General features: G+C 39.5%; 1 protein-coding gene and 2 pseudogenes across 2 annotated transcripts in view; 2 read left to right on the top strand and 1 right to left on the bottom strand.

The window, feature by feature from the left end:
• Positions 1-23237, top strand: part of ZW10 (zw10 kinetochore protein) — a 40506-nt gene that overhangs the window by 2454 nt on the left and 14815 nt on the right. Inside the window, exons 2-8 of one of the 2 annotated variants that reach the window (NM_004724.4) lie at positions 2272-2406; positions 10321-10422; positions 10649-10726; positions 10871-11030; positions 12533-12685; positions 13386-13577; positions 22819-22982. In NM_004724.4, coding sequence (NP_004715.1) covers positions 2272-2406; positions 10321-10422; positions 10649-10726; positions 10871-11030; positions 12533-12685; positions 13386-13577; positions 22819-22982 — 984 coding nt within the window. The remainder of the gene's footprint in view (positions 1-2271; positions 2407-10320; positions 10423-10648; positions 10727-10870; positions 11031-12532; positions 12686-13385; positions 13578-22818; positions 22983-23237) is intronic. The other variant, XM_017018558.3, reaches the window with a different exon arrangement.
• LOC100288385 (cytochrome c oxidase subunit 7A2 like pseudogene) lies at positions 1376-1635 on the bottom strand (annotated as a pseudogene).
• On the top strand, positions 19953-20123 carry RPS29P19 (ribosomal protein S29 pseudogene 19; annotated as a pseudogene).

Here is a 23237-nt window from a genome sequence, read left to right as displayed (position 1 = left end):
TTTGGGAGGCCAAGGTGGGTAGATAACCTGAGGTCAGGAGCTCCAGATCAGCCTGGCCAACATGGTGAAACTTCTTCTCTACTAAAAATACACAAATTAGCCGGGTGTGGTGGTGGGCGCCTGTAATCCCAGCTACTCTGGAGGCTGAGGCAGAAGAATCGCTTGAACCCGGGAAGTGGAAATTGCAGTGAGGTGAGATTGCTCCACCACTGCAGTCCAGCCTGGGCGACGGAGTGAGACTCTGTCTCAAAAAAAAAAAAAAAAAAAATAGCATCCTCAAGTCCCCGACTTGAGGAAGTACAGACTGACGTTAATGAGCCTGTGTGCAACGTGCAACCTTCATCTAGAACCTGCAGGGAAATCAGGAGCACAAACACAGAGTGCAGCATCATTTCTTTTTTTTTTTTTTTCTTTTTTGAGGTAGAGTCTCTCTCGCCCTGTCGCCCAGGCTGGAATGCAGTGGCGAGTTATTGGCTCACTGCAATCTCTGCCTTCTAGGTTCAAGTGATTCTCCTGCCTCAGCCTCCCAAGTAGCTGGGACTACAGGCGCCCACCACCGCGACCGGCTAATTTATTTGTATTTTAGTAGAGATGGGTTTTCACCATGTTGGCCAGGCTATTCTTGAACTCCTGACCTCAAGTGATCCACCTGCCTTGGCTTCCCAAAGTGCTGGGATTACAGGTGTGAGCCACAATGCCGGGATGCATCATTTCTTTAAACAATGGCTTTAACTGTTGAATGAGCTCTGACAAGCCATATGCATCTCATAAGCAAGCCAAAATACTGTCTTCATATCTGTTTTTCTTGCAAACATGTATCATCCAAGTAAAAAAAAAAAAAAAAAAATTAGGCTGGGCACTATGGCTCACACCTATAATCCCAGCAGTTTTGGAGGCCGAGGTGGGCGGATCACCTGAGGTCAGGAGTTCGAGACCAGCCTGGCCAACATGGTGAAACCCTGTCTCTACTAAAAATACAAAAATTAGCTGGGCGTGGTGGCGCATGCCTGTAGTCCCAGCTACTTGGGAGGCTGAGGCAGGAGAATCGCTTGTACCCGGGAGGTGGAGGTTGCAGTGAGCCAAGATTCCACCACCGCATTCCAGCCTGGATGACAGAGCGAGACTCCATCTCAAAAAAAAAAAAAAAAAAAAAAAGAAATTTAACAGAAACAATGAAAAAGAAAATTCAAAAGGTTTATGCCAAAAAGCAAACCAGTCCTCATTTGTTTTGGTGCTAACTCATTTGTTTTGGGGCTGTGAAGCCATGTAGAGGGTGATCAGGCAGTATCCCACCCACAGTCAGCACCATGGTGGTCCAGTATAGCATTTGGTCAGGGAAGCCTCATTTCAGGTGGATGGGCACATCATCAGCTTTCTGGAGAAACTTCTGCAGCTCTGGAACTTTGTTTTTCCTAGCAAAATTATATGCAGTGGAATCAGAAGTCAGCTTAGTTGGTATGGCAAATATGATAGGTGGTGCTTCTGTGGAAACCACAGGCATTAATCCTTATGGGCTATAGGCCTCTGAAGTCCATGCTCCCACCAACTCAAACGTGAAGCCACTAAATTTGTAGTACATGATGCCTGGAGTCCGGCTTCCCGCATCTACTGCCTGCACGACCACCCCAGAGAAGGACCCATAATTTATCCTTGTATCTTTCAAGGTATTAAATAATTCAATACACAGTATTCAGTACTTTGTTTAAGTTACTTTGTATTAAAGGAGATGATGAAAGTCAAATCAATGTAGGGTTTTAAGATCAGGCCATAAAATATTATAGGCAAGAAAATAGAAATTGATTGAGATATACAGATTATGGATTTAATTTATCCATTTATTTTCTATTAGATTTATGATTAAAATTGGTGACCACAGTCTGATATAGTTCAATATGAGAACTTCTGGCTCCACCTTTTCTCTTTTCCAGCATTTGTACAAGTCTTGGGCGCCGTTGGGGTTTGGTGATCATTGTCTTCCTTTTTTTTTTTTAATTTTTTAATCGACCAGTAATAGTTGTATATACTCTTGGAGTACATAGTGATGTTTGATATTGTTGTCTTCTTTCACCCTAATAATGTTATGAGACCCCTCATGGTGGGAGAAATGTGTTTTTGAAATAAACTCATTGGCTTGGAGGGAAAGTGAATGGGTATAGGCAATTGGCAAGAAGGTTCTAACATGGAAAATGCCTTGTGGAAGATGAATATATTCTTATTAGAGTTCTCTACTCATTTCACTGTCTTTTAATATAATTCTGTTTTATATTTTAGGGTGAGGTGTGCAATATGATTAGCAAGAAGTACAGTGAATTCCTGCCTAGCATGCAGAGCGCGCAGGGCCTGATTACCCAGGTGGATAAGCTATCTGAAGACATTGACCTGCTGAAATCCAGGATAGAGAGTGAGGTAAGGATAATTTGTTATATTGGGTAGGTTTGTAGGGAGGTGGTTCAGCTTCCTGATTGCTAAGACAGCTTAATTGTGTACAACTTTTTAAACCCTCACTTTTCTGATTGGTAAATGGAGATTGAACTAAATGATTGTAGGGTGACTTCAATTCTGAAATAGAAGTATTTCCAAAAGTGCAATTTAAATAACTTATTTTTTATGGAAGAAAATTTGACCAGGCCCGGTGCATCATGCCTGTAATCCCAGCACTTTGTGGTGGCCAAAGTGAGTGGATCAATCTGTTACTTTGCACCTCTGGCACAGTTCAAAAAATATCCCCAGAGTGCATTTGTAATTAGTTGATTGATTAGGGAGTCAATATCAATAGTGTAACATTAGACTGTGCTATTAGAAATGAAGTGTCTGGAACAAGACAGTAATTGGCTCTCTGTACCTTTTACTGGCCACACCCTGGCTGTTGAAATTTATTTAGTTTTGGTTGTTGTTATTTTGAAAGATGGCTGGTCTGGATGAGAAGGTTTAGCCCTGAACACTGTACCATTTGAAGAACTGTGAAATAAACTGAGGATGTTTAGCCTTGGGAAGAAACATTTTCAATATTTGAAGCTCTGTCATATGGGAGAAATATTCAAATTTATGGTTCATAATAGAGAATTTTTTCAATAGGTGTATGTTAGAAGTTTATTCAGGCATTTGGTATATTTATTCTGCACTTAAAAGGTGCCAGGCAGTGTAATAGTTGCTGAATAAGAATGTTTTTTATTTCAAGGTGTGAATCTCGTGCCTGGTAATAGTGTGCCACAGCAATAAATAGGAGTAATACAGTTAGAGAGAGGAGATATAGCTAAGGATGGCTTCCTATAGGAAATGGCATCCAAACCAAGACGGGAAGTGATAGGCAACAGGGGAAGGAAGAGTGTTGTAAGTAGCCATAAGTTTTAGGTAGGCAGAGGCATGGAGGTAATAGAGAGATGTCACTGTTGGGGAGCTACAAGTATTCCATAAGACAAATGTGGGATTTTGGTGGGAAGGGACATAAGATGAAATTAGAAAGGTAAGCAAGGGCCTTGCATATCAGGTTAGTAGTAACATGATAAAGAGTGTGGACGTTATCTTGATGGCCCTGTGGAACCCATAGAGGTTTTTAAGCAAGAGAGTGACATCAGATTTGAATTTCCGGAATCCTATTCTGCTTGCAGTTTGAAGAAAGAACTTGAGGGAAATGAGTCCAGGATATGAGAAGGCAGTTAAAATGTTCAGAGGCAGTTAAAATAATCGAGGAAAAAAAAGGGTAGTGACTTTCTCTAAAGTCAGTGGCAGTGGGAATGGAGAAAAATTGATGGATCCTAGTGACATTTCAGAGAGGATATTTGGAACTTGTTGATGTGGGGAGTGAAGAATGTAGGAGTCAGGGATAACTGGGGAACTAGCTCATGGTTTCATTCCATTCACTGACAGAGAATCTAGAGAAAGCAGGTTTTTGTGAGAGATTTGAGGAATTTAAATTTAAGGTGCCTATGGGGTATCAAATGGAGTTTCACAGGCAATTGGATTATATTAAGGTGAAGGCTAGACTGTTGTAAAAAAAAATAAATAAAAAGAGATACCTTGAAATGCAGTGGCTCAAACAAGATCCTTTTTTTTTTTTTTTTAATCATCGTAGTTTGGTAAGCAGGCTGATTCCACAATCTAAGGCCCAGCTATTCTAGTATAGTCTGTGTCAAGAATTGAAGGGGATCTAGGATTTTAACTTGCTTGAAAGTCGGTAAGTTAGCCTGCTAAAGTTTCATGGATTCTTTAAAAAAATTTTTTTTGAGACAGATTCTTACTCTGTTGCCCAGGCTGAAGTGTGTGGTGCGATCTAGGCTCACCACAACCTCTGCCTCCTGGGTTCAAGCAATTCTCCTGCCTCAGCCTCGCAAGTAGCTGGGATTACAGGCGTGTGCCACCATGCCTGGCTAATTTTTGTATTTTTAGTAGAGACAGGGTTTCACCATGTTGGCCAGACTAGTCTCAAACTCCTGGCCTCAAGTGATCCACCCACCTCTGCCTCCCAAAGTGCTGGGATTACGGGCGTGAGCCACTATACCCAGCCTCATGGATTTTTTTTTTTTTAATTTTTAAAAATTAATTTTTTTTTTTTTTTTTTTTTTTTTGAGATGGAGTCTCGCTCTGTCACCCAGGCTGAAGTACAATGGCACGATCTCGGCTCACTGCAAGCTCTGCCTCCCGGGTTCAGGCCATTCTCCTGCCTCAGCCTCCCGAGTAGCTGGGACTATAGGCACCCGCCACCACACCTGGCTAATTTTTAAAAATATTTTTTAGTAGAGACGGGGTTTTACCATGTTAGCCAGGATGGTCTCGATCTCCTGACCTCGTGATCCACCCGCCTCGGCCTCCCAAAGTGCTGGGATTACAGGCGTGAGCCACCGCGCCCAGCCTAAAAATTCTTATTTTTTATTTTTTTGAGACGGTTTCACTCTGTTGCCTAGGCTGGAGTGGGGTGGCACAGTCAAGGCTCACTGCAGCCTCAACCTCCTGAGCTCATTTGATTCTCTCACCTCACCCTCCTGGGTAGCTGAGACTACAGGTATAAGCCATCATGCCCAGCTAAATTTTTTGGTAGGGACAGGGTCTCACAATGTTGCCCAGGCTGGTCTCGAACTTCTGGGTTTAAGTGATTCTTCTTCCTCAGCCTCCCAAAGTGCTGGGATTACAGGCTTGAGTCACCGTGCCTGGAAAGTTTCATGGATTTGTAGAAGACGTGAGTCTCCTTGGTGAGAGATGAAGGACAGTTTATTACTTACAGCAGTAGCCAGAGTATCAGCATTTTTGCATCAGTTGCCCAGTCCTGCTCCCTGTAGGACATTGTGCAGTAGATTGCTTTATATTAATAGAAAAGGACTCCTGACTTTAAGGAACCCGACTCTTTTTAATGGGTAGCAAGCATACCTCCCTTTTGCTTTGGAGGGAGACACCATCTCTGTCTTCCAAGGCTGTTTACTATATAGACATTCTTGAAAAGATAGCCCAGAACTAAAGACAGTAATTGCCTTACTTGTAAGATAGTGCAGAAATGTGAGAGACCTCTAGAGAATTGTCTTCCAAAAGTCTGTAGAGCAGCAGCTTTGGCAGTACCTGATAGCTTATTAGAAATGCAGGATCTCAGGCCTCAATCCAGACCCAGTGAATCAGAATCTGCATTTTACTGAGAGTCACTGAGTGATATGTATATGCATTACAGTTTGAGAAGTATTGCTCTTAGGGTTTTGTCATTATTTATGTGATTCAATCTGGTCTCTTTTGGTATCCAGGTTATAGCTGGAGATAAAGGGAAAAGAGAGGGCATGTAGGGGGCACGTCTATTTTCTTAAGACTCAGAGTTGGAAGTGGTACACATTACTTCTGTTTACATTCCATTGGTAGGATCTTAGACATGGTCTCACCCAACTGTGAAGGAGGCTAAAATATATAATCTAGTTGGGTGCTATTAATATGGAAAGAAGGAGAATGGATTTTAGTGGACAGTTTCCACATCATCTTACCCATATACATGTTTGGACGTGAGGAAAATAATGTGGACTCGAGATAGCAGCACTTAGTAATTGAAGCCATGGGAATGGACAAGATTGCCCAGAAAGAGTATATAAAGCAGGGTTTCTCACCCTTGTCACTATTGATGTTTTGGGCTGGATAATTCTTTGTTGTAGAGGTCTGTCCTGTACATTGTATTGTGTTAGCAGTATCCCTGGCCTCTGTTCACTAGATGTGAATAGAACTCTCTCATGGTGCAAACCAGTGACAGCCAATGTCTTCAGACATTGCCAGATGTCCCTGGTTGAGGTTGGGGCAAAATCACTTCCTGTTAAAAACCACTGGTTTGGAGTAAGACAATCAGGAAGAAAGGAGTATCAATATATACGGAGTGGTCAGAAAATGAAGCTCCCAAAAGAGTGAAAAAGGAAGGGCTAGAGAACTAAGAGGAAAATCAGTAGAGAATAGTTTCATGGAACTAAGGGAAAAGAATGTTTCAGAAGGAAGGAAAGTTAACACAGTACTGTTAAATACATTTCAGTCGACCACAGACCACATATACAAGTGTGGTCCTGTGAGATTATAGTAGAGCTGAAAAGTTCCTATCACCTATTGGTAATCTTGACTTTGTAGGGCTAGGCTAATGTGTGTGTTTGTGTCTTAGTTTTTAACAGGAAAGTTTACAAAGTTAAAACAAAAAATTTAAAAATAGAAAAAAGCTTATAGAAGATGAATTTAAATAAAATATTTTTACTACAAACCACTACTCAAGGAAATAATAGAGGACACAAACAAATGGAAAAACATTCCATTCTCATGGATAGGAAGAATCAGTATCATGAAAATGGCCATAAGCAATTTATAGATTCAATGCTGTCACATCAAACTACCATTGACATTCCTCACAGAATTAGAAAAAACTGTTTTAATTTCATATGGAATCAAAGAAGACCCATATAGCCAAGACAATCCTAAACAAAAAGAACAAAGCTGGGGTCATCACACTACCTGACTTCAAACTACACTGCAAGCCTACAGTAACCAAAACAGCATGGTACTGGTACCAAAACAGACATATAGACCAATGGAGCAGAACAGAGGCCTCAGAAATAACACCACACGTCTACAACCATCTGATCTTTGACAAACCTGACAAAAACAAGCAATGGGGAAAGGATCTGCTATTCAGTAAAATGGTGCTGAGAAAACTGGTTAGCCATATGCAGAAAACTGAAACTGGACCCCTTCCTTACACCTTACACAAAAATTAACTCAAGATGGCTTAAGGACTTAAATGTAAAATCCAAAACCATAAAAACCCTAGAAGAAAACCTGGGCAATTCCATTCAGGACATAGGCATGGGCAAGGACTTCCTGACAAACATGCCAAAAGCAACTGCAATAAAAGCCAAAATTGACAAATGGGATCTAATTAAACTAAAAAGCTTCTGCATAGTAAAAGAAACCATCATCAGAGTGAACAGGCAATCTACAGAATGGGAGAAAATTTTTGCAATCTACCCATGTGACAAAGGTCTAATATCCAGAATTTACAAGGAACTTAAACATATTTATAAGAAAAAAGCAACCCCATCAAAAAGTGGGCAAAGGATATTAACAGACACTTCTCAAAAGAAGACATTTATGCGGCCTACAAACATGAAAAAAGGCTCAACATCACTGAATCAGAGAAATGCAAATCAAAACCACAATGAGATACCATCTCACGCAAGTCAGAATGGCGATTATTAAAAAGTCAGGAAACAATAGATGCTGGAGAGGATGTGGAGAAATAGGAACGTTTTTACACTGTTGGTGGGAATGTAAATTAGTTCAACTGTTGTGGAAGACAGTATGGTGATTCCTCAAGGATCTAGAACCAAAAATACCATTTGACCCAGCAGTCCCATTACTGGGTATATACCCAAGGGAATATAAATGATTCTGCTATAAAGACACATGCACACATATGTTTATTGCAGCACTGTTTACAATAGCAAAGACATGGAACCAACCGAAATGCCCATCAATGACAGACTGGATAAAGAAAATGTGGTACATATACACCATGGAATACTATGCAGCCATAAAAAGGAATGAGAGCATGTCCTTTGTAGGGATATGGATGAAGCTGGAAGCCACCATCCTCAGCAAACTAACACAGGAGTAGAAAACTAAACACCACATGTTCTCAGTCATAAGTGGGAGTTGAACAATGAGAACGCATGGACACAAAGAGGGGAACAACACACACCAGGGCCTGGTGGGGGACGAGGGGTGAGGGGAGGGAACTTAAGAGGATGGGTTAATAGGTGCAGCAAACCACCATGGCACATGTATACCTGTGTAACAAACCTGCGTGTTCTGCACATGTATCCCATTTTTTTTAGAAGAAATAAAAACACACACAAAATACTTTTCTACAGCGTATAGTGTGTTTGCGTTTTAAGCTGTGTTATTGCAAGAGTTAAAAAGTTTAGCTGGGTGCAGTGGCTTACACCTGTAATCCCAGCACTTTGGGAGGCTGAGGCAGGCAGATCACTTGAGGTCAGGAGTTCGAGACCAGCCTGGCCAACATGATAAAACCCCATCTCTACTGAAAATACAAAAATTAGCTGGGCATGGTAGTGGGTGCCTGTAATCCCAGCTACCTGGGTGGCTGAGGCAGGAGAATTGCTTGAACCTGGGAGGTGGAGGTTGCAGTGAGCCGAGATTGTGCCACTGCACTCCAGCTGGGTGACAGAGTGAGACTCCTCAAAAAAAAAAAAAGTTAATAAGTTTATAAGGTAAAAATGTTACAGTAAGCTAATGTTAATTTATTATGAAGAAAGAAAATTTTTAAAAATAAATTTAGTGTTACCTAAATGTATAGTGTTTATAAAGTCTGCTGTAGAGTACACTAATGTCCTAGGCCTTCACATTCACTCACCACTCACCCACTGACTCACCCAGAGCAACTTCTAGTCCTGCAACTTACATTCATGGTAAGTGCCCTATACAGGTGTACCATTTTTATGCTGTATTTTTACTGTATGTTTTCTGTGTTTAGATACACAAATATTTACCATTGTGTAAATGGTACAGTAACATGCTGTATGGGTTTATAGCCTAAGAGCAATAGTTTTATATAGCCTAGGTACATAGTAGGACATACCATTTGGGTTCCTGTAAGTACACTCTGTGATGTTTGCATGACATCAAAATCACCTAACTGCATTTCTTAGAATGCGTCCCCATTGTTAGTGACACACGACTGTACTAGTAATATTTGCTTTGGATTTAGCAACAAGGAGTTTAGTGTTTTTGTTTGTTTGTTTGTTTGTTTTTTGGCAAGAACAGTTAGGAACCAGATCACAGTGAGGTATAGAGTGAATGAGAGTTGAGAATGTAAAGACAATGGATATAGATCACTATTTCAGGAAGCTGTTTGTGAGAGGGAGGAGAAAAATAAAACAGTTACTGAGCAATAGGGTGGTTGGTAAGGGGGAGGGATTTTTTTCTGAAAGATGGGAGAAATTTTAACATACTTAAATTTGATGGGATAAGCCATGCACTTATAGGCATTCAGTCAATATATATTTCACAAATGAATGAAGATAAATTAGGGAGAGGTTAATTGGAGATTTTAGGAGAGAGGGAATAATTGATCATGTAAAGTCATTGATAAGGTGGGACAGAATGAGAGGTAGATTCTGCCTCAATATTAAATCTTTCTGACAGGGTGCCATGGCTCATGCCTACAATCTCAGCACTTTGGGAGGCCAAGGTGGGCAGATCGCTTGAGTCCAGGAGTTCAAGACCAGCCTGGACAACATGGCAGAACTCCATCTCTATCAAAAAATACAAAAATTAGACAGGTGTGGTGGTGCGTGCCTGTAGTTCTGGCTACTCAGCAGGGCTAAGGTGGGAGGATTGCTTGATTCTAGGGAAGTTGAGGCTGCAGTGAGCTGAGATTGCACCACTGCGCTTCAGCCTGGGCAACAGAGTGAGACCCTGTTTCAATTAAAAAAAAGAAATTCCTAATAGAGGTGTCTGACTCTAGAATGAGTTATCACTTGGCAGTGGGGATACCTTTCTAGTAATCCAGGTGGGTGAGCTCTCTGATGAAAGATACCTGCTTAAATTAAGAATAGATGGTGACATGAGGATATTATGTTGAGAGGAATGGGTATTCTTGCAATAGGATAAGGGTTTGGACTAGTTGGACCTCTAAGGTATCTTCCTACTACATTCTGTGATTTTTATTCCAGTCTTAACTAGCATTTAAATTTCAACATAAATTATGTTGACCTAGTAAAGCTTATTGATTTGCTTTAAATTTTTTATTTCTTAGGTATGGTATAGCTTAAAAGTACTTGTTTTTGATGTGTGAATTAGGTCCGCCGGGATCTTCACGTATCAACCGGTGAATTTACAGACTTAAAGCAGCAGTTGGAAAGAGACTCAGTTGTCCTAAGTTTGCTTAAACAGTTGCAGGAGGTCAGTAAACTCAACTTGAACCTTAGTGTTTTGGTGGTGGGAAGGTCTCATTAGTCAATGGCTATCTCCTGACTATAATGGGTTTTTTTGTCTTCATATTTTTTTTTCTTTCTTTTTTTTTTTTTAGAGGGGGGAGGGGGAGGGAAAGTGGGAGCATTTCTTAATGTTTAAAAGCAAACAGACTTGAAATAATAGGATGTATAAAATATTATACTTAACTTTTCAGTTTTCCACTGCTATTGAAGAATATAATTGTGCATTAACAGAGAAGAAGTATGTCACTGGTGCTCAGCGTCTGGAAGAGGTACTAAATGCTCTCCCCAAAGCATGCGCAATAAGTGCTCTTCTTGTTTTCAGTAAATTTTGTATTTTTTATCATTATGCAAATATATTCTAATTGCCCTGAGTCCAGATGGAATGTTTAACAGTGATTCCATTTCGTTACCAGGCACAGAAATGCTTGAAGTTATTAAAATCCAGAAAATGCTTTGATTTAAAAATATTGAAATCTCTCAGCATGGAGCTCACAATACAGAAACAGAACATACTTTATCACCTTGGAGAAGAGTGGCAGAAGCTGATTGTATGGAAGTTCCCACCATCAAAAGGTGCTGCTGACCTCAGGTGGACTGCTTTGCTTCATCTGCCTGAACCAGTGTAGTGTCTGAATATATTCTACATTTTTGTATTAGTAGATGAGGGTTCATTCATAATCTTCCATGTCTGTATTGAGCACTCATGTTAGCAAGATGCTTTCTTAGGACCAACTCATCTGGGTCCCTAAAGTGCCCTCACCTTGCTTCCCTTACATCCCTCTTAGCTGTCCTGTTCCCTAGAAATGTGAGAAAAGATGCTAGGGTAGTTGGGATCATGTGGTGAGAGTGTGCTAGAGGAGATGATAGCAATTTGCGACCACATTAAGTTTCCATTGCCTTGTAGGACGTGCCCGTTCCTGACAGCCCTAATCCTAGCAGTTTATCTTGGCTAGAAAGTGTAAAGGAGCTCTCTAGCCATTCTCTCTCTTGCTTAGGAAAGAAGATGGATCAGTAGGCTTGTGGGTAGAGGAGGGGTCTTGCTCAATTTCTTTCCAGTCCTTGGGGAAAATAATGAGCTAGGGAGTGCTTTGCAAGGTGAAGAAATAGGATTACTTCTGCCCTGGCTTTGATTTATGCTACTTGGCTGTCAGCCTTTCTGCCTACCTCTGGGTATGAGCCCTCTTTGGTGTGTTGTTTGCCCTGAGAGTAAAACTTCAGAGGCTGTATTTAAAGGACATGCTATTGTACCTGGTGTATTTTCCAACACTGGATTTTGAAATTTAGTGTATTTCAAGAGAAACTTTCTCCCCCTGTTCCCTTTCCTATATCCACTTTGGCCTACAAATTCATTATATACATATGTGTGTACATAGACACATATGTGCATATGTGTATGTGTGTCAGGTATTTGAAGGGAGTTATCCTGAAAATTTTAGATTCTGTTCTCAAGTAGAATATTAGTTAAGAGAAGAGGGCAGGTGTGTTGAATTATTTGTTATAACACACCCTACTTGTTAAACTTGTTTGGCAGAAAGAACATAGAAAGGAAGGTCTGTGAAACTAGGACCTCATTTTTCTTTTTTTTTGAAACAGGGTCTCGCTCTGTCGCCCAGGCTGGAGTGCAGTAGCTCAATCATAGTTCACTGCAGTCTCAAACTCCCAGGCTGAAGCGATCCTTCTGCCTCAGCCCCAACTACTTCTCCCACCCTGCCCCCAGTAGCTGTGACCACAGGTGCGTGCTACCACGCCTGACCAATTTTTAAATTTTTTGTTAGAGACAGCGTCTCACTACGTTGCCCAGGCTGGTCTTGAACTCCTGGGCTCAAGTGATCCTCCCGCCTCGACCTCCCAAAGTGCTGGGATTACAGACATGAGCCCCTGCACCTGACCTCAAAAAGTCATTTCCTTTTTTAAAGTGATGCCAAGGACATGTATGTCATAATTCATATTTGGTTGCATTAGGAGTATATTGTAATAGAACTGCATTGGAAATATCAGAGAATGAGCTCTGAGGAATAGAAGTGGGAACATCTCATATTGGTGAGACAGCTGATATTTTTCTTCCTTTTTCTTAGATACCAGCAGTTTGGAATCTTACCTACAAACTGAACTTCATTTATACACTGAACAATCGCACAAAGAGGAGAAGACCCCTATGCCACCCATCAGTTCTGTCCTCTTGGCATTTTCTGTTCTTGGAGAACTACACAGCAAGCTTAAATCATTTGGTAAGGCATGCTACTTTGTTTCATTTACACAAAATCTCCTGAGGCCCAGTATTAAAGGGAAGACAGAAAAGATGATAAAATATTCTCTGCAGAGTATTAGTATAGGGTCTGGCCTCTTGATTCATCAAAGAGAATTGTCCTAAATATTATCCCTTTTATTAAGGGATTGGGTTTTTTTTTTTTCAACTGTTCCTATTTTTTTTTTTGGTTTTTGAATAATTTAAATAAAAATCTGTAGACAATCTGGGAAACTTCAGTGGTAAAACCTGCACCGCATAATGGTTGGTGTGTAATGTCATGGTATATGTATTTTGGTTGTTAGGTTCAAAGATTCATATTTTTTTTTTGACATGCTTACTTTTTAGAAGTGTTTTTTTTTGAGATGGAGTTTTCGCTTTTGTCGCCCAGGCTGGAGTGCAATGGCATGATCTCAGCTTACTGCAACCTCTGCCTCCTGGGTTCAGGCAGTTCTCCTGCCTCAGCCTCCCGAGTAGCTGGGATTTACAGGTGCCTGCCACCATGCCCAGCTAATTTTTGTATTTTCAGTAGAGACGGGATCTCACCATGTTGGCCAGGCTGGCCTCAGATGATCCACCTGCCTCGGCCTCCCAAAGTGCTGGGATTACAGATGTAAGCCACTGTGCCTGGCCTAGAAGTGTCTTATGGTGATTTTTTGATGAATGTTCATATGATTTTTCAGGTCAGATGCTGCTGAAGTATATCCTTAGGCCGCTGGCATCTTGCCCATCCCTTCATGCTGTGATAGAAAGCCAGCCTAACATAGTTATTATTCGTTTTGAATCTATAATGACTAACTTGGAATATCCATCACCATCTGAAGTTTTTACAAAGATCAGACTGGTACTAGAAGTGCTCCAGAAACAGCTTCTAGGTATGTGTCTCCAAGGCAGTGCTTTTATATTTTGGAAACTAAATATTGTTTATAAAAGTAAATATTATTTTAAAGTAGAAATGCCTATAATGTGTGAGAAAGGAGGATGAAAAGTAAGTAAATTGTGCCATAGGGGCAAAAGAGTTGCCTTCTTGTTTTTTTGCCTATTTTGCATTCCTTCTCTGCATTGTATTGACAAGTAGGGCCATCAGTGGTACCCCAGATTCTGTATTTGTGATATTATTTTAGTTGAATTCTAGGATGCACTTCTCTCACTGGACTCCCAGTACCGTCACAAATTGGAACTCGTGCTTTAATTATAGGAGAAGAAGAAATGAACCAAGTGTTGTTTTACATATTTCCATTAAAACCTCTATTAATCTGATATAACCAAACTTAGTTTAACATAGGAAATAAATTCTATTTCAGCCTGTTGATCTTGGTGTATTCACACTAGACACAGCCAGTTTCTGTATTCCATAAATCATGTTTTTGGTTGTTGTACCATTAAAAGTGAAGTCTCTTGTGTTTTAATACTGCTTTTTTTTTTTTTTAAGTCTATTTGATTTACCTTCTATGTGCTTTTCTCAGCTGTCATATTGAATAGCCTGGCTAACCATTCTTGCTGTGGCTAAAGTAAAAAAGAAATGCTCCTACTGTTTGTGGGCCTTCCTGGCAGTCATATACTGTATATTTATGTATAAATAATCTATATGTAAAGCAAGGACTTTTCTATAGTTTTGATGAGAGCAGAGAAAAAAAAATCCTAAGGCTTGCATAAACTTCAGAAATCCAAGGTAGTTTTTCTTGTTCCCAGAGCCTTCCCTTAGGGAGGAATACAATTTTATTTTCACTAGATATAAATTAAGTTGTAAACAAAGCATCCAAAGATTAGAAGGAATTGGAGAGATGATTTGGTCCAAATATCTCAGATGCCTGAATCTCCTCTATAATATTCCATCAATTGGTCAGATAGCCAATCTGAATGCTTTTAGTGAGAGAGAACTTGAGGCATTTTATCCTGCCCCTGGGCAGTTCTGAGTACCAGGCAGGTTTTTGTTTTGTTTTGTTTTTTAAAACTCACATTTCTTACCTGTACTCTTAAATAGTACTACGAAAATGCCAGTTTTGCAAATTAAATCTTTAGGGTAGTTATTTTAAAAGTTTGTCACAATATACTACCCTGTAATGTCTACTTTATTGATGCTATTTCTATGGTGTGGAGCCATATAGAATGAGTCTAATTCCTATTACAGATGATGGATTTTCAAATTCTTTACAGTTGCTGTTATTTCCCCTATATCTTATCACCAGTATAAACATTTTTATTTTTTGAGTGACATAGTTTTAAGTTCTCCTGATCTTCATTGCTCTTCTGGTATTGGCAGGTTTGGTTTTTCCTGAAGCCTCTCTTATCTTGCAGATGGCCTTCTTGATGTGTCTTTGCATGGCTTTTTCTCTGTGCATTTGCATCCTCCTGTCTCTTCCTCTTCTTATAAAGACACCAGTTGTATTGGATCAGGACTCTACCCTTATGACCTCATGTAACCTTAATTACCTCCTTAAAGGGACTACTAGCATACCTCAGAGATATTGCGGGTTTGGTTTTAGACCACTGCAATAAAGTAAGTATCCCAATAAAGCGAGTCCCACAAATTTTTTTATTTCCCAGTGCATATAAAAGTTATAGTTACACTGTACTGTTGTCTATTAAGTGTGCTATAGCATTATGTCTAAAAAGTGTACATACCTTAATTTAAAAATATATTATTATTAAAAAGTGCCAACGATCATCTGAGCCTTCAGTGAGTCATAATCTTTTTGTTGGTGAAGGGTCTTGCCTCAATGTTGATGGCTGCTGACTGATCAGGATGGTGGTTGCTGAAGGTTGGATGGCTGCGTCAATTTCTTAAAATAAGACAACAATGAAGCTTGCCTCATCAATTGACTTCCCTTCATGAAAGATTTCTCAGTAGCATGCAGTGCTGTTTGATAGCATTTTACCCCTAGTAGAACTTTTTTCAAAATTGGAGTCAGTCTTCTCACCCTGCCACTGCTTTATCAACTAAATTTATGGACTGTTCTAAATCCTTTGTTGTCATATAAACAATGTTCACAGCATCTTCACCAGCAGTAGATTCTGTCTCAAGAAACCACTTTCTTTGTTCATCCACTAGAAACAACTTATCATACATTCGGGTTTTATCATGAGATTGCAGCAATTTAGTTATATCTTCAGGCTCTATTTCTGATTCTAGCTCTCTTGCCATTTCTAGTACATTGGCAGTTCCTTCTTTAACTGAAGTCTTAAACCCCTCAAAGTCATGAGGGTTGGAATCAACTTCTTCCAAACTCCTGTTAATTTTGCTATTTTGACCTCCTCCCATGAATCATGAATGCTTTTAATGACATGTAGAATGGTGAATCCTTTCTAGAAGATTTTCATTTTATTTTGCTCAGATCCATCAGAGGAATCACTGTAGCAGCTATTTTATTTCTTGAATAATAAGACTTGAAAGTCAAAATCACTCCTTGATTCATAGGCTACAGATGGATGGTGTTAGCAGGCATCAAAACATATTAATCTCCTTGTTTATCTCCATCAGAGTTCTTGGGCGTCCAGGTGCATTGCCAGTAAGCAGTAATATTTTGAAAGAAATCTTTTTTTCTGAGCAGTAGGTCTCAACAGAGACCTTAAAATATTCAGTAAACCATGCTATTGGCTGGGCATGGTAGCTCACACCTGTAATCCAAGAGCTTTGGAAGGCCACGGTAAGAGAATTGCTTGAGGCCAGGAATTTGGGTAACATAGCGATACCTGCCTGGGTATTGCTATGGGTAACATAGTGATACCTGGCCTGGGTAACATAGCGATACCTGGCCTCTACTAAAAAAATAAAAAATTAGCCAGGCATAGTGGCATGTGCTACTTGGTAAGCTGAGGCAGGAGGATCAATTGAGCCCAGTTGGAGGCTGCAGTGAGCTGTGTTCACGTTACTGCACTCCTGGGTAACAGCAAGAGTCTGTCTCAAAAAAGAAAATAAGACATGCTGTTTTTGAAAAATATCCTGAAAAACCATGCTGTTGTAGATGTGTTGCCATCCAGGCTTTATCCTATCTCTAGAGCACAAGCAGAGTAGATTTAGCATAATCCTTAAGGGTCCTGGGAATTTTTTTGAGATGGAGTCGCACTCTGTTGCCCAGGCTGGAGTATAGTGGCATGATCTCGGCTCACTGCAACCTCTGCCTCCTGGGTTCAAGCGATTCTCGTGCCTCAGCCTCCTGAGTAGCTGGGATTACAGGCCTGCACTACCATGCCCAGCTAATTTTTGTAATTTTAGTAGAGACGGGGTTTCACTATGTTGCCCAGGCTGATCTTGAACTCCTGGCCTCAAGAAGTCCACCTGCCTTGGCCTCCCAAAGTGCTAGGATTACAGGTGTGAGCCATCGCACCCGGCCTGGTGCTAGGATTTTTGGAACGGTTGATGAACATGGTTTCATCTTAAAGTCACCAGCAGCATTAGTCCCTAACAAGAGGGTCAGCCTATCGTTTGAAGCTTTGAAGCCAAGTATTGACTTCTGTCTAGCAATAAAAGTTCAAGATGGCATATTCTTCCAATAGAAGGTTATTTTGTCTACACTAAAAATCTATTGTTTAGTATAGAGACCTTTGTCGGTTATCTTAGCTAGGTCTGCTGGATAACTTGCTGTAGCTTTTCCATTGGCACTTGCTGCTTCACCTTGAGCTTTTCTATTATGGAGACAGCTTCTTTTCTTCAAACTCATGAACCAAACTCTGCTAGCTTCAGCCTTTTCTCCTGCAGCTTCCTCACCTCTCTGAGCCTTCATAGAATTGAAGAGCGTTAAGGCCTTGCTCTGGATTAGGTTTTGGCTTTAAGAAAATGTCATGGTGGGTTTGAGCTTCTACACAGACCACTCAAACTTTCTCCATAAATTGCCAGGCACAGTGGCTCACTCCTGTAGTTCCAGCACTTTGGGAGGCCAGGGCAGATGGATCACTTGAGGTCAGGAGTTCAAGACCAGCCTGGCCAACATGGTGAAACCCTGTCTCTACTTAAAATACAAAAATTAGCTGGGCATGGTGGCACCCATCTGTAATCCAAGCTGCTCAGGAGGCTGAGGTGAGAGAATTGCTTGGACCCAGGAGGTGGAGGGTGCAGTGAGCTGAGATCATGCCATTGCACTCCAGCCTGGGTGACAGAGCAAGATTTTATCTCAAAAAAACAAAACAAAACAAAAAACAAAACTTTCTCCATAAATAAGGTTGTTTTACTTTATAATCCATGTGTTCACTAATACACTTTTAATACACTTTTCATTTCCTTCAAGAGCTTTTCCAACCAACTCAGGAACAGAAAACCAAATACCGCATGTCCTCACTTATAAGTGGGAGCTAAGTGATGAACACACATGACACATATTGGGGACAACACACACTGGGGCCTATTGGAGGGTGGGGGATGGGAGGAGGACAAGGATCAGGAAAAATAACTAATGGGTACTAGGCCTAATACCTGGGTGATGCAATAATCTATACAACAAACCCCCGTGACACAAGTTTACCTATATAACAAACCTGCACATGTACGCCTGAACTTAATATAAAAGTTAAAAAAAAAGTAAAGGTAAATACATAAGTAAATAAAAGTAATGTTTACACTAAAAAAACCCAGTCTTTTCCTTTGAATTCAAAACTTGGCTAACTGGTGCAAGAGGCCTAGTTTTTGACTTCTCTGAGCCTTTGACATTCCTTCATCACTGAGTTTTATCTTTTCTAGCTTTTGATATAAAGTGAGAGATGTGTGACTCTTTCACTTGAACACGTATAAGCCATTGTAGGGTTATTAGTTGGTCTAATTTCAGTATTGTGTCTCAGGGAATAGGGAAACCCTAGGAGATAGAGACATGAGTGGAAAGGGTCGGGGTATGAGGGAAAGGGGTGGCTGGTTAGTGGAGTAGTCAGAACACACACAACATTTGTTAAGTTCACTGTCTTACATGAGTGGTTCATGGCATCTCAAAACAATTGCAATGGTAATGTCAGATCATGAAAAAGTTTGAAATACTCTGAGAATTGCCAAAATGTGACACAGATATATGAAGTGAGCACATGCTCTTGGACAAAATGGTGCTCATAGACTTGCTTAATGCAGGGTTGCCACAAATCTTCAATTTGAAAATAAAACCCCAAAAACCAGTATCTGTGAAGCACATTAAAGCAAAACACAATAAAATGAAGTATGCCTGTATATCCAAATCTAGTCACATTGGGGGCTAGGGCTTCAACGTATAAATTTGGGCAGGGGCACAATTCAGTCCGTAACAGCTGTGTGTGTATATATATTTGGCAAATACACACACACACACACACACACACATCTTGTTCATGTGCAGTGTGACGTAAGTACGAAAACAAAAGTTTTTTGCCATTTTTTAATCTTTGATTATTTGAATATTTGGCAAGCATTTCTTTTGTTTTAACAAAGCCTTGAAGATAACAATGTAGTAAATGTTTCTAAAACCCTTCCAGATTCAACTAATGAGCATTGGCAAAGAACATAAGTTCATATTTATTGTCTTCTGTTTCTTTCAACAGTTCCATTAACCAGTAATAATTTATAGTATTTGCATGTATGCAAACTGAATGCTTTTAACAATGTTCATTAAACTTTTTATAGAGCATGTTTCAGATAAAAAACTGAATGCAGGTATCTATCACGTGATGGAGTGAAGCAATAAGGGAATCATTAGTCTTCTCTTTTTTTTTTTTTGAGATGGAGTCTCGCTCTGTCGCCCAGGCTGGAGTGCAGTGGCACAATCTCAGCTCACTGCAACCTCCACTTCCTGGGTTCAAGCAATTCTGCCTCAGCCTCCTGAGTAGCTGGGATTACAGGTGCATGCCACCACGTCCGGCTAATTTTTGTATTTTTAGTAGAGTCGGGGTTTCACCATGTTGGTCAGACTGGTCTCGAACTTTTGACCTTGTAATCTGCCCTCCTTGGCTCCCAAAGTGCGGGGATTACAGGCGTGAGCCACTGCGCCCAGCCAGCCTTTTGTTTTAAAATTCCAATAAATCTGAATTTTTTTCCCCTAACATAGAACTAAAACACTATTCATTGTAATAAAAATTAATTTTTTCATATCTTGCTGAAATTCTTTGACAAATGTGAAAGATTAAAAATACCTGTGGAAAACAGACAACAACTGTGCAGTGAGATTGATATTTTAGGCTGTGAATTGATAATATTTCTTTGCAAATTTGGAAGTCCCTTTGGAAAAAATGTATCAAAAGTATGATTTAAAGCTAAAGAAAAGTATTTGGCCTTTTTATTTCATCGCACTTCTGAGAGCAAGATAGGTCACCAGCAGCTGTACTGGAGCCACTGGTGAAAATTCAGCCAGGATTCTCGCTTTTGTCGTGTCTGCTCAAGCCAGCATGGTCTGATCTGGAAATATGGCCTCAATGTGTGCCTCCAGTGTCTCCGTCAGTATGCGAAGGATATTGGTTTCATTAAGTTGGACTAAGTGATCTTCCTTGAAAGGATTATCCAAGGCATCTACCTAATAAAAAACCACGATGGCTCTTTGTGCATAAAATAAACACTAAAAAAAAAAAAAAAAGTATTTGCAGTTTTCCAGAAATTGAATCAATTGATCTTTGATATTGTTAGAAAGATATTGTATTTTATGGACAGTATTCTGTGGTTGCTTCATTGAAAATCTTTTACATTTTAAAAAATATATCCTTTCCTTGTAATTTTTAAGAAAATTAAAAAAAAAAACAAGATCACTTCTTTTGCCATCTCCCCATTTAAAAAGGATTTTCTTTTTTGTGCAAGAATCCAAGTTATTTTATAGCGGGTGAAAGTTAGAAGTTCAGGTCCTGTTAAAATCACACTTTTTATTGGACATTTAATTCTAATTTCAGGTGACTAATTTTGTCAATTCTTTTTTCACAGGAAGCATCAAATTCCTAATGTATTTGCTGAAAATGTCCCTTAATATTGTTCACTTTATTGTCTTAAAAAATGTTTTGTAGCCAGGCGCGGTGGCTCATGCCTGTAATCCCAGCACTTTGGGAGGCCAAGGCAGGTGGATCACCTGAGGTCAGAAGTTCAAGACCAGCCTGGTCAACATGGTGAAACCCCATCTCTACTAAATATACAAAAATTAGCTGGGCGTGGTGGCGGGCGCCTGTAATCCCAGTTACTTGGGAGGCCGAGGAAGGAGAATCGCTTGAACCCAGGAGGCGGAGGTTGCAGTGAGCCAAGATCGCGCCATTGCTCTCCAGCCTGGGCAACAAGAGCAAAACTTCATCTCAAAAAAAAAAAAGAAAAAAAATGTTTTGTATGCAACAAGCAAGCAGCTTTTTTTGTTTTGCCCTGTTGTAGCAAATTGCAGCTGCCATTGATTGTGAAATTTGTGACATACTTTCTTCTAGTCTTTTTTACCTTTGCTCTTTCAGTGGTACCACCAGCTTCTCCATCTTCACTTGACTGTATCAATAGTATGCTTTGTTTTAAATTTAAAAATTTGTACATATTTTCTTAATCTAGAAAAAGAATAATATCATAATTAAAATGAGTATTTCAGTTCAACTACCTATTACAATTTATGTAGGTATCACCATAACTTGCGCTCTATGCATAAAATATTCAAATAAACACATTACAATGTTATGTTAGTGCATGGAGGAAAAGAACTGTGATAGGATCAGTCTGGAGAAAAAAATCATGTTGGGATCAGTCTGTTGACACTGACTGGTTTGGCAATGTATTATATGAAATACCAGAAATGACATTTGTGCCTGTTGAGTGCTTGACAATACAACAGTAATATGTGATGCAGTAGTTGCAGTTAAATGTAGTTCTATCAAAACAATGAAATTGTGTTTAATGGAAAAGTATTTTATACTGCTGCTTTAAAAAATTTTTTCCATTCAAAAATTACAGAGAGGTCTCGTGCCTCCACTGAATTTTCTACAGTGTTAACATCTTAAATATTATATAGTAATATATAGTGCAGTATAGTACAATATCAAAACCAGGAAATTGACATTGGTACAATTCATAGAGTTTATTTAGATTTCACCAGTTTTACATGCTTGTGTGTGTGTTTCTGTAGTTCTGTGCAATTTTTTCATATGTGTAAACTCATGTAACCACCACTACAATCAAGACACAGAACTGTTCCAAAACCACAAAGCTCCTTTGTGCTGTCCCTTTATAAGCACACACCCCTGCTTCTATTTTTAAACTTAAATCTCAGTTAATCAAAACTAAAAAGTTGAATTTCTCAGTCACACTAGCCACATTTTAAGTGTTTAGTAGCAAAATGTGGTTGGTGGCTATCATATTGGACAATGCAGACTAGACTTTAGATGTTGTGAGGTATCTTAAAGGCTTTGAGATAATATGTTCACTTTCTTCTAAGGCGTGTGTGTGTGTGTGTGTGTTTGTGTTTAAAGAGACTTGATCTTGCTATGTTGCCCAGGCTGGATTTGAACTCCTAGGCTCAAGTGATCCTCCCACCTCAGCCTCCTGAATGGCTTTGTCACTGTGCCCTGCTCTTCTAAGGCTCTTAATCCCCTAAGTCTTCCTTTGTGAATCAGAACTAGGTTCATAACAGCTAGTCTCTTTTATGAGTCCTCTTCCTTCTACATTGGTGCCTGGTTCTTAATTATTATTTAATTGATTAGTAAGATATTCTAAACAACATCCTCAATATGTGTTCGAAAAATGCACCATAACATATACTGTAGAGGAGGTATTGAAGTATTCTGTTTTATAAACTAGTTATGTTTTACTGTAAAGTACAAACACTCAGATTCTATGCAGAGACGAAAAAAGTATGTTTATTCATTATTAAATAAGTGAGATTTTATTCTAAACTAGTTTCAAGTTAGAATGCAGAACTTCTGAGTGCTTGTCATACAATCAAATCAGCAGCTAGCACTAGATGATTATAATGTAGATGGCTTAATACCTCATTGTTACAGAGTACAGACAGTAATATAGTACAGACAATTCATTTGAGCAGTGAAAATAAAATAATAATAATTGTGTGTCATGATTTGTCCCACGCAGTTGAGAAGGCTGTGGAATTATCTGTGCTGTTTTCTTCCCCATCATCTTAAAATTAAAGAATTCTAGAAAACCTAAGAATATTCCAGGACTGCGAATGGTTTCTTGTTTAAAACTTCTTTTTTTAAAAAATTCAGATTTGCCACTTGACACTGACCTGGAAAATGAAAAAACATCTACTGTCCCATTGGCTGAGATGCTTGGAGACATGATCTGGGAGGACTTGTCTGAGTGCCTCATCAAAAACTGTTTGGTTTATTCGATTCCAACAAATAGCAGCAAATTACAGCAATATGAAGAGGTAAAGAGCCCAGACAGCACAGAAGGTTTTAAGACACTGTTGTTTCTTATTGCTGTCTTTTGTTTTTCCTTGGAGATAGTTTGTTCTTTAGTTATACCTTTAAGTAAATTATTAATAAGGAATAGAGACAAATTCCATATAACTTCATTTTTCTCCTGGCTTCCTACCTCTTTAACTGCAGAAGTTTGTTTCCTTACTAAATATATTTTCTTTATGTTCATTTATACTTATATCAGCTATAATAGCTATTGTGTG

This window comes from Homo sapiens, chromosome 11 (genome assembly GCF_000001405.40).
Source record: "Homo sapiens chromosome 11, GRCh38.p14 Primary Assembly".
In the NCBI taxonomy this organism is placed as follows: domain Eukaryota; kingdom Metazoa; phylum Chordata; class Mammalia; order Primates; family Hominidae; genus Homo; species Homo sapiens.
The sequence above is the reverse complement of the archived record's forward strand: the minus strand, read 5'-3'. Positions and strand labels throughout refer to the sequence as shown.